General features: G+C 53.7%; 1 long non-coding RNA gene across 1 annotated transcript, besides 1 other annotated feature; it reads right to left on the bottom strand.

Annotated features, from left to right (window-relative positions):
* Positions 1 to 6426: 6426 nt before the first annotated feature.
* LOC124907724 (uncharacterized) lies at positions 6427 to 9654 on the bottom strand. Its single transcript, XR_007086189.1, has 2 exons — positions 8907 to 9654; positions 6427 to 7609 (listed from the first exon to the last, which is right to left on the bottom strand). It is a non-coding gene; the product is annotated as an uncharacterized LOC124907724 (long non-coding RNA).
* Positions 8601 to 9101: an enhancer, noted in NCBI's record as "H3K27ac-H3K4me1 hESC enhancer chr2:1755052-1755552 (GRCh37/hg19 assembly coordinates)". NCBI's record gives its function as "activates a minimal SCP1, AML or CMV promoter by ChIP-STARR-seq in naive H9 embryonic stem cells {active_cell/tissue: H9 hESC(naive)}" and the evidence as "EXISTENCE:reporter gene assay evidence [ECO:0000049][PMID:30033119]".

Raw genomic sequence — 15182 nt, 5'->3', positions numbered from 1 at the left:
ATGGTGGACACCCCTCCCCCAGCCTCATTGCCGCCTTGCAGTTCGATCTCAGACTGCTGTGCTAGCAGTGAGCGAGGGTCCGTGGGCATAGGACCCTCCGAGCCAGGCACAGGATATAATCTGTTGTGCCATTTGCTAAGATGGTTGGAAAAGCGCAGTATTAGGGTGGGAGTGTCCTGATTTTTCAGGTACCGTATGTCATGGCTTCCCTTTGCTAGGAAAGGGAATTCCCCAACCTCTTGTGCTTCCTAGGTGAGGCAATGCCCTGCCCTGCTCCATGGGCTGAACCCCCTGTCCGATAAGCCCCAGTGAGATGAACCCAGTACCTCAGTTGGAAATGCAGAAATCACCCGTCTTCTGCGTCGCTCATGCTGGGAGCTGTAGACTGGAGCTGTTTCTATTCGGCTGTCTTGGAACCCAATGTTCATCTTACATGTGTTGATTGATCTCTTATGTCTCCCTAAAATGTATAAAACCAAACTGTGCTCTGACCACCTTGGGCACATGTCGTCAGTGAGAGGTGACAGCGTGCTGGCAGCCCTTGCTCACTCTCAGCACCTCCTTGGCCTTGGCGCCTACTCTGGCCACGCTTGAGGAGCCTTTCAGCCCACCACTGCACTGTGGGAGACCCTCTCTGGGCTAGCCAATGCCGGAGCCGGCTCCCTCTGCTTGTGGGGGGGTGTGGAGGGAGAGGCGCAGGCGGGAACCGGGGCTGTGGGAACCCGGGCTGTGGAAGGCACTCGCAGGCCAGCGCAAGTTCTGGGTGGGCGTGGGCTCAGCGGGCCCCTTACTCGGAGCGGCCAGCAGCACCGCCGGCCCCGGGCAGTGAGGGGCTTAGCACCTGGGTCAGCAGCTGCGGAGGGAGCGCCAGGTCCCCCAGCACTGCCGGCCCGCCCACGCCGCACTTGAATTCTCCCCGGGCCTCAGCCGCCTCCCCACAGGGCAAGGCTCAGGACCTGCAGCCTGCCATGCCCAAGCCCCCCAGCGGTGGGCTCCCGCATGGCCCAAGCTTTCCCAACGGGTGCAGTCCCCTGGTCCGCGGCACCCGGTCCCATCAACTGCCCAAGGGCTGAGGAGAGAAGGCATGTGGCGCAGGACTGGCAGGCAGCTCTGCCAGTGGCCCTGGCGTGGGATCCACTAGGCGAAGCTAGCTGGGCTCCTGAGTCGGGTGGGGACTTGGAGAACTTTTATGTCTAGCCAGAGGATTGTATATGCACCAATCAGCACTCTGTGTCTAGCTTGGGGTTTGTGGATGCACTAATCAGCACTCTGTATCTAGCTAATCTAGTGGGGACTTAGCACCTCTAAAGACAAGAGAAAAACAAGACAAGGCCACATGGCCCCATGCATCCACCACCGGCTTCACACCCCTGCACTCGCAGTGTCTTGATGGGAATGTGGATGTTTTATTTCCTAAAATGCAAGAGCCTGGCCCACAGGTCCTTCATGCTGTTTGAGCTCTTGTGCTTGATGAAGGCTGGCCCAAGGCTCCCACAGGGGAGGGAAGGGGGGACTGATGGTACCAACAGGAAGGAAATTAAGTGGCAATAATAGGACTTCTGTCTCTTCTACCCATGATGTTACTGCTTTGTGCTGTGAAGTGTGGTCTGCATGTAAATTTGAGCAGAGTGTGCCTGAAAACTATTTTGGACCAAAGGAAGTAATGTCATTAAAAATCCTAACAGGAGCTTGTACTGGTTAATCAAAATGCTTTTGGTAATGTGATTCCTAGGTCAAAAGTTTAGAAATGTGAAGTTGAAGTCATTTTAAACACATAAGGCCTAAATTCCCTTTTCCAAGAAGAGCCTGTATCCCTTCCCCCATTATTGAGATGGAAAGTTTAATTCCTTAGAAAGGTCAAGACTGGTAGGGCAGAAGGCTTGTACTAACCTTCATTGTTTATATTTCCAACCCATATACACGCGCAATTGTTTGTAGCCCTTATGTCAGTCCTGGGGGATATTAGTCCCATTTCATAAATGAGGATTCTGAGGTTCTGAGTGGTCAGATTGTTCAACGTCAGGCAGCTGGTAACTGTCAGAGCTGGTTATAAATCCACACTCTTTCCCACTCCAGCCAAGCAACAGAGCTCCCCATACGACAGCCCTGCAGACAATCAGGAAAGCCATGTGCACCTCTGCAAGCTGCAGACGTGGAGGGCTCCCACCTGCCAGGCTTCTGGGGTCTGCACTATGGGGCCAACCCTGAGGTGGTGTTGGACCAAGAGGGAAGGGTAGTCCAATTTCTCCACCCACTGCCCTGGAGCCACACGTCTGGCAGTCCTGGGGCAAAAACCTCCAGGTTTTGACTCTCAGCTGGAATGGAGCCTTTGAAGATGGCGCAGAAATGTACTCAGCTCCTCTGGGTGGAGAGGCTCACTCTTTTGAAGTTGGATTGAATTTAAAAATGAGGGTCCTGGGATTTTGTCATAAAGCAAACACATTCATTCTATAGTGGAGGGTGGGAAACACGTCTGCAGCTCAAGTTCCAAGGGTTATGGGTGCGACAGCTGACATTCTCTGGCTTCCAGGTGATGTGAGCCATATTTACTGTAATTTTGTGCAGAAGCTCCTGACAACTAGAAAACATCCACCAGGGACTGAGTCTGGTTTTGCCAAGTCAACAGTGACTCTGGCCTGCGTGGAAGTGGCCTGTGTACCCACTGTCATTCCTAAAGCAATTAACTTGTTATAAAGGATTATAGGGGCATTTGGGGCAGGACCTAATTATGATTTTCACCCCCTTTAGCCAAACACATGCTGAGCGTCAGATCACATGCTTTTGGCTGCAGAGGAAGTGTCCTTGCCCATGTGGAGGGAGGGTGCTTGTTCACTGCTCAAATTCGCTTCCACCCGGGGCCCTGTGCAGAGTGACACGCCACCGTCTATGCTGTTCCCTGACTGCTCCCCAAAATGTGGGTTTTTTGTTGTTGTTGTTTGTTTTTGTTTGTTTGTTTGTTTGAGACAGAGTTTCGCTCTCGTTACCCAGCTGGAGTGCAGTGGCAGGATCTCGGCTCACTGCAACCTCCGCCTCCCAGGTTCAAGCGATTCTCCTGCCTCAGCTTCCTGAGTAGCTGGGATTGCAGACATGTGTCAACACGCCCGGCTAATTTGGTATTTTTAGTAGTGATGGAGTTTCACCATGTTGGCCAGGCTGGTCTCAAACTCCTGACCTCAGGTGATTTGCCTGCCTCGGCCTCCTAAAGTGCTGGGATTACAGGCATGAGCCACTGTGCTTGGCCAGAGTTTGCATTTTATAAAAATAATTTATTCTTGAGGAGATGGGGGCTTTTGCATCTTTTTCTTTTCTCTTCTTTTCTTTCCTTTTCTTTTCTTTTTGTTTTTTGAGATGGAGTCTTGCTCTGTCACCCAGGCTGGAGGGCAATGGCGCTGTCTCGGCTCACTGCAACCTCCGCCTCCCAGGTTCAAGAGATTCTCCTGCCTCAGTCTCCCCAGTAGCTGGGATTACAGGCGCCCGCCACCATGCCCAGCTAATTTTTGTATTTTTAGTAGACATGGGGTTTCACCATGTTGGCCAGGCTGGTCTTGAACTCCTGACCTCAGGTGATCTACCCACCTCGGCCTCCCACAGTGCTGGGATTCCAGGTGTGAGCCACCGGGCCCGGCCCACATTCTTAGTAAACCTGCTTTCGCTTCACTCTGCCCGCTCGCTCTTGAATTTCTTCCTGCTCCAAGTGAAGAACCCACAAGGCCTCCCAGGCTGAACTCCAGTTTTGGGGGCCTGCGACGTTGGGACTAGCAGCATCCATGGTGCCTGGGCACCCGCCAGCCATGCACATCCTTCCTGAATCAGACATGGCGGGTGGAGCCTCATCCAGGGCTTCACAGGCCCTCAGCTGGCTTTGATGCTTCCCAAGCCCAGGCTGACAACCTCCTGTTTACAAGTCTCTGTTCCTCCTCAAGAAGCCATATTTCACCTCCACAACCAGCCCCTGCTGAGCACAGCGACAGACTTCCAGCAGCCACACAGTGGATGTAAGACTATGTGACATTTTATGTAGAAAACCAATTAGGCTTTGAGGGAGCAGTATGACAGATCACGAATGGAGTTTGAATAAGTACTAATTAAATCCACAAAAAAACAAACTTAATAATAATGGAAATATCTGCTCCAAGCATCCAAAGCCTTAGTTCTTCTCTCTGTGGGGAAGCTCCATCATCATCCATTTACTCCACAGAGACTAATATTTATCAACCCCAGGGCACCCAGAGCCAGCATTGCTCTCCTGTCTCACTGCAACTTTCCTGCCCGTCTACGCAGTCGATCCTCATTTATCTAGCAGCCTGCGGTCAGCAGCCTGCGGTCACTCCTGCTCTTTCCGGCTGGAATTTCTCAGGAAGTTTCTTTTAGCTGAGCCATCTATAAAGTCGACTCTCATTTATCTAGCAGCCTGCGGTCACTCCTGCGCTTTCCAGCTGGAATTTCTCAGGAAGTTTCTTTTAGCTGAGACATGCTCTGCTTTGTTCTCTGTGCTTAGCACACACACAGCCAGGCATGGCGGAATTCTCCCCTGGCACCCAGAGGGCAGAGGCACACTGATCTCATCACCAGCACTGAGCTCTATTGTTTTGAGGTCCTTTTTATTGGAAAAGGAAGGAGAAAGGGGCTGGGAGGAGAAGAGCACGAGGCACCCCGCTAGGGAGACTCCTGCCCAGCGAGGCACCCGCCCAGTGTGTTAGGGGAGGCTGCTGCACCCCTATCGCCTATGGGAGAGATGCCAGCAGGTGAGACTACATTTCGGAAACCACACCTGCTTACCTATCATCTATGCACAGGAGGCCGGCCCTCTCCTGGAATGGCAGCAGGGAAGGAGCAGAACCAGACAACTCTGCCCAATAAGCATGCATTTCCTGTTTTTGCCTGGAGGGCTGTGGAGACAAGAGCTTTAGGTGCCCAGGGTAGGGGACGAAGGAGCCTTGGGAGCACCAGTTCTGAATACTGGAAGACCCCAGAGAGGACAGTCTATGTGCCAGGATGGGGTGGGTGAGATGTTCCCTGCAGTGGGGAAGACTTAGGGTACTTACAAAGAGAGAAAATTTCCTGTGATTTTGAGATAATGGCAGCTCCATGCTAACTGTGGTCCCCGTCACCCTCATATCCTCAGTAAAGATGGGACCCCTTGTTAAGTGGGGGGCTGAATGATGTGGGCACCGTGCGAACAGGAGAGAAGGATCCAGAGGTAACTGGTGCCAGGGGTGCATCCGACTCCTGGGTCCCGCCACCTCCTGGAAATGTCTGGGGACAGGGGGTGCTGAAGAGGTGGAGCGTTTCATTTGGATATAATAAGGAGGGTGACCTGGAGGCTGGGGACCCAGGAGTGTGGGGAGCACAAGAAAAAAAAGAAAAACCATCGTGCAAAGGAATGTGGGCACATGGGCAGCGTGGGCTTTGCTGGAAGGTAGCTGTGCGAGCGGGCACTCCCCTTGTGCCTGCACCTACTGAGGTGCTCTTTCTAGGTGGCTCTGGAGGCCCACAGAACCTGGGGTGGGCTCCATTGAACAGACAGGGAGACCAAGACACAAAGAGCAGAAGCGCCTGCCAAAGACCACATGGCAGAGCTGGGCCCAGAGCCTCTGTCAGCCCTTCCTGCCTCTGCCCCAGGGCAGCAAGCCCCATGAGCCCTCCTGGCCACTGCCTCGTGAATCCACACATTGCATATTTCAGAGCCTGTGTTCCAGGGAACGCACTGGGTGGGGGCCATGGGGTGCATCAGATGCCTGCTCCAGCAGGGCCCACAGTCCAGGGGGGACGCCCCCACCAGCCAGCATGGCAGGAGCTGTCCAGCCACTCACTAACCCGTCAGTTCCCCATCAGCACATTACCTCGTGGTTACCAGCACCTACGCTGATAAAAATCATCAGATCGAACAGTCCAGGTGGGGAGACGGCTGTGTGTGTGAGCAGGTAAGGCACTCAGTGCCGTGATGGTGAGGAAGGGACGGAGACATCATGACGGGCACGGAGGAAGACCAGCTTTCCCCGCAGGTGGGCCAGTGCATGGGAGCCTTCAAAGGACCTGAGGTTACAGCTGAGTCTTGCACGAGGAGGGCTAAGTGCTGGGCATTTGGGGCAACAGTGAGTCCTGGGCCCCAGCAGTTACTTCCGCAGGAGTGGGGAGGCCGGCTGGGGAGGTGGGAGTTGGGAAGATCTGGAGGGCAAGTGATGAACACTGCACAGAGAACCTGGGATGCTGGGTCCTCGGCTGCCCTAACATGGCAGACACTTCACACATGGAAACGCTGGGCTCAGAGCAAGCAGGCATCCCGGGGAGGGGGCGTGGCCTGGGCTGGAGACCCTGGTTCCATTTCACTCCCCTGCTGCCGTCGTGGGGGCTTACTCAGCCCATCTGTGTCTCATGTTCCTCTTCTGCGTAAACAAAACAGTAATTCATTTTCAAGGTTCATGATTGTTGTGAAGATTGAGACAATGATTTTTATTAATTTATTTTATAATTTTTATAGCTTTAACAAACTTTTAATTTTGAAATGATTGCATACTCACAGGAAGCTACAGACACAGAGTGCTTCCCTGCTGTTCACCAGCTTACTTTATCACAGGTGAACCCCCAAATCGGGGCTCATCCCGGGAGGTCACATGGGTTCTTAGTGTCATGCAGGAAGGAATTCAAGAGTGAGAGGACAGGCTGGGCACAGTGGCTCACGCCTGTAATCCCAGCACTTTGGGAGGCCGAGGCAGGTGGATTGCTTGAGGTCAGGATTTTGAGACCAGCCTGGCCAACATGGTGAAATCCCATCTCTACTAAAAATACAAAGATTAGCTGGACGTGGTGGTGCACATCTGTAATCCCAGCTACTCGGGAGGCTGAGGCAGGAGAATCGCTGGAACCCGGGAGGTGGAGGTTGCAGTGAGCTGAGTTCATGCCACTGCACTCCAGCCTGGTGACAGGGCGAGACTCTGTCTCAAAAAAAAAAAAAGAGCAAGAGGACAGAGTGAAATCAGGTTAATCAAGAAAGTAAAGAAATAAATGGGTGGTTACCGCACAGGAATAAAAGGGTGGCTATTTTTATGGTTATTTCTTGATTATATGCCGAACAACAGGTGGATTATTCATGAGTTTTCTGGGAAAAAGGCAGGGAATTCCCCAAGAACTGAGAATTCCTCCCCACTTCAGACCCCATAGGGTAACTTCCAGACGTTGCCATGGCGTCTGTAAACTGTCTTGGTGCTGCCAGGCACGTCATTGAGCATATGCAAATGCATTATGATTAGTGTATAATGAACAGAGGTTTCTTTTGCCACCATCTTGGTTTTGGCTGGCTTCTCTCCCACATCCTGTTTTATGAGCAGGGTCTTTGTGATGTGTCTCTTGTGAAACCTGCCCTGTGACTTCCTAGCTCACCTTCAGTGACAACATTTCACCCGGCCTACAGGGCATGTGCAAGAAGAATGCGCCACAGCTCAGAGCCTGGGGCCAGACACGCATGAGCTCTGGTGTAACACCTGCCTGAGAATCCTGGTGATGGATGCTCTGCTTGCTGTCTCTGTGTCGCTGCCCAGGGCTGCAGAGCCAGTGCACAGATGCGGCCATTCACTTAATGTGGTCATCCAAGCAGCTTCTATCCACGTGGCTTTAAAAACATTTTTTAAATATATATGTTTTATCTTTGTAAAGACAAGGTCTCACTACGTTGCCCAGGCTGGTCTCAAGCTCCAGGACTCAAGTGATTCTCCCATCTTGGTCTCCCAAAATGCTGAGATGACAGGTGTGAGCCGTCACGCTTGGCCTAAGTGTCTTGCATTTAAGACTGTGTTTCCACCTAACTGTGAGTTTCTCAGGGTCTCTGCCCTTCCTTGTCTGTTTTCATTGCCCGCTCACTTCCCTGGAAGCTGGCTGGGTGCTGTGCTCACGCTGGATTTTCCAGGTCCAGTCTCTGCCCTTCCTTGCCTCACCTGTCCTGGGGAACCAACCTCTAATAGGGAATTGCCCAGTCCCCGTTACCGCCTGGCTTCCTCCTGGGTGACCAGGGGATGGCATCAGCCTCAGTGGCTCCACATGCCCTCCCTGCCCTCCCAGCCATCCACCTGCAGCCATGGCCCCTGGCAGCCCCTCCTGCAGTTATAAATCTAGCTAGGTGAGGCTCACACGTTCCTCCCCCCGCCTTCCATGGCCTCCGAGGGTGGGGGCATGGTGGAGATGCTTGGTTGCTTCCCTAACTGCCTCACCTCTCAGTCGCCCAATTAAACTCCCTCCACTGTAACCCTGAAACCCTCTCGGTGCTTCCCCCTCCTGCAGAGGCCTTGGCTAGCCCCAGCGCGGCTCATGGAAGGCAGGAAGCAGACCCTCTCCCCGAGGGTGGACAGAGGGTCGCCCACCTCCGCACACAGCGTGCCAAGGGCCTGGGCTGGGGAGGCCTCTGTCTACACCCAGGACCCCTGTTGGGGAGGGGGTTATTAGCGGGACCCCTCTCCCAGACATGAGCCTTCCACCCTCTGACTTCATCACCTAGGCATGCAGAAAGCCCCTGTTGGCGCCTATCTGAGAAAAATGTGGAATCTAAGTGTGCGGCTTAATTTACATAAAGATCCCATGGGGGAGGAGCAGTGAAGATGTGACTCTCACAAGGTGAGGACCCTCAGGACCCCTCTTCTCTCCACTCCTGGGCATGTCCCGGGTGCCTGACCCGGTGCTCTGGCGGATGGAGGGACCTTTGGACAGAGAAGTGGTGACTCTCCATGCTTAGCATTTAAATTCTAGAATCTCATCTTTCTGTGGCTGAACTGAACACAGTAAATTGTGTTCTGAGCCTGCAGCTGCCTCTCACCGTGGGTCTGCCAGGAGCCTGGTGCCCTGCCCGGCTGTCCTTTGCTGTGGTTGAGCTGACACTGACCGGGAACTCACTGGGAACATGGCTCTGACCCACTCACCTGAGCCTTGTGACATCCAGCAAGGGGGACAAGCCTTTTCCATACGACCTCGGGCCCCAGCATGAGCACCCAGGAGAAGATCTCAGCGCAGCTCCTGCTGTGAGCTGGTCTTCAGACAGCCGCCGCCATGGTCTTCACGGGCCTGCTGTCCTGGCACCCTGCCTGGCATGCTGTAGCACACAGGGCAGTGTGTGCAGAGAAGGGGGCCCGGGACCAAGTGTCTCTTCACTCACTGCGTCTAAGTACTATGTGTGACAACGAAACAGTGTTCCTTGGCACAACTCACACCTGGAAGGAGTGTTTGCTGTGGGACAGATCACAAGACTGGGGGCGGATAACAGGATTGGAAAGTGGCCATCAGAGGGGGTGAGAGTATTTCACCTGGGCCCGGAGAACATGAAGCTTAAGCTGTTGTGCTCCTGCTCAGACAATTCACCCGCAGACGCCGGGCTGGGGAGGTGCGAGGCTTCTGTGGGCCTCTAGAGGGCAGACGCAGGAAGCCGTGAACAAAACACACGGCTGCACATTCAGCTCCACAGGGGAAGAGCTCACCACCAAAACCTCATTCTTTCAGGCCCAAGTCATTGCACTGACCACCCCCTGCCCAGACTCCCCTGCCAATGCCACACACATGCAAACGAATGCTATGCCACTCGGGGGTCTTCAGGGACACATAGGATGGGGTCCATAGGATGGATCCGTGGATGGGGATGGGGAGAAGGGAGGGAAGGAGGGAAGGGATTGGGGGAAGAAGGAGGAAAGAAGAGAAGGGAGGGAGGGAGGGAGGGGGGGAGGGGGGGGAGGGAGGGAGGGGGGGGAGGGAGGGAGGGAGGGGGGAGGGAGGGAGGGAGGGAGGGAGGGAGGGGGGAGGGAGGGAGGGAGGGAGGGAGGGGGGAGGGAGGGAGGGAGGGAGGGGGGGAGGGAGGGGGGGAGGGAGGGAGGGAGGGAGGGGGGAGGAGAAGAATGAACGAAGGAGGGAAAGAAGGAGGGAGGGATGAATGGATGCAAGGATGAGTACATGTATGAATAGGTGAGTTGATGGGTGGATGGATACATTGATTGATGGATAGATTTTTTAAATCGGCTCAAGTGATTGTGGGGCCAGCAGGTCTGAAATCAGGAGCTGAAGCTGCAGCCTTGAGGCAAAATTTCTCCTTTTCTGGGAAACCTCAGGTTTTGCTCTCAATGCCTCCACCTGCTTAGACAGGGCTCACTCACATCATCAAAGGTCACCTCCTCCACCTAAGGTCAACTGATGATAGAGATTAACCACAACCGCAATACCTTCAGAGCAATGTCTAGATGAGTGTGGCCACGTGGACATATAAAAGCAATCACCACAGGTGACTTGGGAGATGCCTGTTGAACTGGAAAGAAAAGCCACCAATTCGTGATGCCCTGAAATGCTCCTGTGGGTGGCAGCAGGTGGGGAGTGTGGATGTCAGGTACAGGCCGCCGTGTCTGAGCGAGGGTGGACTACACACTAGGGAGCCTCTGGGCCACTGGGTGACACTCTGAGAAGTGTCACTTGAAGGTGGCACCAGCGCACTTGGAAGGCATTGAGTATCTGCAGTCACAGGGCCCCTCCTCACGATGGAATGTCCATACCCAGCACTTCCCCTGGAGTTCTGTTGAGATGCTGAAATGACCTCATAATCATTATTATGATGTTTCTGATGATTTCTAAACTTGAGCAAACTTAAAGCAGAGAATGCAGAGGTCTTTTCCAGATGTTTCTAGTCTTTGTCACCCACCCCAGCGAATGTCAGGGCAAACTCAGAACTGCAAGGCTGCCCAAGAGTCCACCTGATCATCTGGGGCTGGGCAGTAATGCACGCAGTGTAGCACATGGTACACTTGTTTTCACCCAACAATGACTGTTCTAGTCCATCCCCGAGGGCTCTTGGCCTTGACAGGGAGCTAGGCATGGAAACCTTGTCCTGGGGCTGTGTGGGGTGGGCTGTAGCACTAGAAGGATATTCACACTGGGAAGACGGTGGGAACCAGGGCCTGGAGGGGTGCACAGAGGGAGCCACCCAACTGAGCAGATTCTAGAAGGTTCAGTAGCAGTTTGCCAGGAAATAAAGTTGAAATAAGTTGATGTCTGGTGTTTGTGGAGAGAAGGGGCTGGAAGAACAGACGCAAAGCCACCGGAGATGGTGGCCCCAAGCCCACCCCATTAGGCAGGGGGCTGAGAGGTGCTTGCATACAGCGGTGGCAGGGTCCGAGCTGCGGCACATTCTCTGTGAGCTTCATTCTCTGTGATGAGCCAGGCAGACCCAAAGGCACATGCCCAGGAGGGGTCTCAGTGGTGGTCCAGGGGCCAGAGCTCTGCCAACAGCCATGTGGAAGGAACAGTGCTCAGCACAAGGAATTAACAGGATCCTGTGACTGCTGTATTTAAGGATGGGGTAGGGATTGAGGTGAGAATGACCTCCAGGTTGGCGGAGGATTGCATTAGAGATTCTGGAGAAAAAGCGCATTTTTTATGGAGAGCGATGTTCTAGTTTCTGACATCATAACATTGGAATTCTTGTGGGACATCGAGGTGGAGATGTCTGGAAAGCATCTGGAAGTGAGTACGGAGCCCCAGAGCGTGCTGCGGGTAGATGTGTGACTCCTTAGTACCTAGGACACCTGGATGGCTTGGAAAGGGTCCCTAGATGACCAAAAAGGTAATTACGCCTTGTGAGCGGGGTGCTTGCTTAAAACGGCAGACACAGCAGCGGGTGCCACTTTCCTAAACACGAGTATCCATGTAAAGCTTGTGTGTTTGAGAAGGAATTGGGTCTTTTCCTCAGGTTCCCGGGACAGAGCTTCCAAAGCCCTTGGAATTTCCCCAGGGACAGGAGCGTGTGTATTCATGATGAGCTCCCAGCCATGTCTGAGCTGACGCTGATGAAGGAACACAGGATGGAGGCTGATCACTAGGACTGACCATGCGATTGTAGGGTGAAGTGTTTGGGCCTTGTGCTGTCAGCCTGACCTCCCTGGAGAGTTCAACCCCATGGACAGTGTGTCATCAGTCCTGCTTGAGCCATAAAACCCTGGTGAAAACTCTGGACACCAAAGCTCAGTAGAGCTTCCCTGTTGGTGATCATGTCCCTGTGCCGGGTGGTGATGGGCCCTGATCCCACAGGCCAGGCACAGAGGCTCTGCATTTGGGACCCTCCCTGACCTCACCTGATGTATTTCATTTGGAGGTTCAGATTGGTATCAATTATAATACAGCTGTATTTGTAACCACAGCACTTTCATCTGTTGTGTGGGTGGTTCCAGCAGGAGATGGAGCTGGAGGGGGTCTCAGAAACCTATGAATCTGTAACCAGTCAGAAGTGTGGATGGCCTGGGGACCACTGGACACACAGGTAGTATTAAAGTGAGGGCAGCCTTACTGAGGTCCATCCACATCTGTAACCTGCGGGGTCTGCTCTAGCTCCAGGTACTTAACAGCAGGACTGTACTGAAGTCTGCCTAGGACTCTGTCTCCTCCTCTGCTGAATATAATGTTTGCAGCTCCCACCCAGCATTCTGCCATTATGGAAATACAGAAGAAGCATTCTCACAAGCATCCCTGTTCTACACAAACTCAAGAGTGACACGTGGTAGGCAGCCTCTAAGATGGTCCCCAGTGGTTCTGTCTCATGTTCCTTACGCTCCCAGTTGATGCTCTGCTGTGGCATGTGCTGGACGCAAGAGCATCTGTGGATGGAATCCAGCAGGAGAGATGGCGTCCAGTGTGAGCTGGAACAACAGGAGGGTGTGGAGAGGATCCAGGAGGAGTGATGGCATCTGCATCTGGACCCACTGGTGTGTGTGCACAGGATCCTGCGGGGTGATGGCTGAACCCACTGGCGTGTGTGCACAGGATCCTGCGGGGTGATGGCTGAACTCACTGGAGTGTGTGCACAGGATCCTGCAGGGGTGATGGCACCCGGAGTCTAATCTGAACCCACTGGAGTGTGTGCACAGGATCCCGCAGGGGCGATGGCACCCGGAGTCTGAAATGAATCCTCTGGAGTGCGTGGACAGGACCCTGCAGGGGTGATGGCATCGGAATCTGAACTAAACCCACTCGAATGTGTGCGCAGGATCCCGCAGGGGCGATGGCACCCGGAGTCTAATCTGAACCCACTGGAGAGTGTGCGCAGGATCCCGCAGGGGCGATGGCATATGGAGTTTCAGCTGGACCTACTCGAGTGTGTGGATAGAATCTTGCAGGAGAGACGACATGTAGAATGTAAACTGGACTGAGTGGAGTGTATGGAGAGAATCCTGCAGGTGAGATGGCGTGTGCAGTGGGAAGCGGACCCACTGGAATCTTTGGGTGGGACCCAAACTCAACCACTGCTATGTGTAGACAGGATCTTTGAGGAGAGATGGCATCTGCAGTGTGAACCGAACCCACTGGAGTGTATGGATAGCATCTTGCAGGAGTGATGACATCTGCAGTGTGATCTGGACTGCCTCGAGTGTGTGGGTAGGATCCTGCAAGAGTGATGGCATGTGGAGTGAGCACTGCATCCACAGGACTGTGTGGACAGCAGCCTTCAGCAGTGATGATGTCTGCTGTGTGAAGTGGAGCACTGTAGTGTGTGGGTAGGGTCCTGCAGGAGAGATGGCAACTGGAGTGTGAACTGCACCCACTTGAGTGAGAGGTTGGGATGCTGCAGGTGGATGGCATTTGGAGTGTGAACTGGACCCACTTGAGTGTATGGGTAGGGTCCTGCAGGAGAGATGGCAACTGGAGTGTGAACTGGACCCACTGTTGTGCCTGGAGAGGATCCTGCAGAAGACAAGGCATCTGCAGTGTAAACTGGGCCACTGGGGTGTGTAGCTAGAATCATGCTGGAGTAACGGCTTCTGGACTGTGAGCTGGCCCCATTAAAGTGTGTGTATAGGATCCTGCAAAAGTGATAGCCTCTGGAGTGTGAATGGGACCCACTGAGGTGTGTGGATAGGATACTGCAGGGGTGATGGTGTCTGCAGTGTGAGCTGCAGCCCTGGGGCATGTGGATAGGACTCTGCAAAGAGACAGCATCTGTGGTGTGAATGGCACCGGTGGAATGTGTAGAGAGGATCCTGCAAAAGTGATGTCCTCTAGAGTGTGAACTGGACCCACTGGAGGGTGTGGACATCGTCCTGCAGGAGAGATGGCATCTAGAGTGTGAATGGCACCTCCGGAGTGTGTGGATAGGAGCCCGCAGGAGAGAGCACATGTAGAGCGTGAACTGGACCCACTGAAATGTGTGGACAGGATTCTGCAGAAGATACGGCATCCGGAGTGTGAAATGCACCACTAGTGTGTGTGCATAGAATCCTGCATAAGTTTTGGCATCTACAGTGTGAACTGGAGTCACTGGAATGTGTGAATAGGATCTTGCAGGAGAGATGTCTGCAGTGTGAGCTGGACCCACTTCTGTGTGTGGATAGTATCCTGCAGGAGAGATGTTGTCTGCAGTGTGAGCTGGGCCCACCGGAGTGTGTGAATAGGATCCTGCAGGAGAAATGGAATCCGGAGTGTGAGCTGCATCCGCTGTAGAGGGTGGATAAAATCCTGCAGGAAAGATGGCATCTGGAATGTCAGCGGGAGCCACCGACCTCTGAGGATGCACCCCGCAGGTGTGATGCGGGGCCAGTTCCAAGGCTGGGTTAGGTTTTACCCTGGCTTCTGTGTTGTACTCTCATTCTCTTCCTCTTTCTTCTAATACCTGCTCTGGGAGGCATCAGGCCATGTCCAGTGTGCAGGCCATGGAGACCCACACGGCAAGGAACTGGAACCCCCTGCCAGCAGCCTCGGGGGTCCAGTCCTTAGATGGTGCCCTGTGGTCAGCAATGCACCTGTGACCTCCGGGCTATGTCTCGTGGTAGTTGCTTTTGTGTTTTAACATAGCAACAGGAAACTAGCCTATTACCCACCAATCCCATTCCAGGCTGCTTTCAAACGCAGCTCAGGCTAGAACACCAGCACGGGGACACAGCTGAGACTTGGGGTTTGCGACGGGAACACGCCCATGCTGTGCCTCTGAATCTGGCACCGTCACCCTGTGGCCTGGGTTCAGCAACTTGGCCTCACCTTCCTTGTCTGTGAAATTCAGACTGGGTCCTTGTGAGATGATTGGAGAGAATGTATGAACTATGTGAGAACGCCACCTTTGTGCGTATCTCACGCAGTGTCTTCCCTCCTTTCCAAAGTCTTCTGCTGTCTCTAGACACACCCGACGTGGGGGGGGGGGGTTCCCTGGGTCTCCTCCTAGGTCTGTCCCAGGAGGGCAC

This window comes from Homo sapiens, chromosome 2, assembly GCF_000001405.40.
Source record: "Homo sapiens chromosome 2, GRCh38.p14 Primary Assembly".
Taxonomy (NCBI): domain Eukaryota; kingdom Metazoa; phylum Chordata; class Mammalia; order Primates; family Hominidae; genus Homo; species Homo sapiens.
This window is presented reverse-complemented; position numbering and strand designations above follow the sequence as displayed.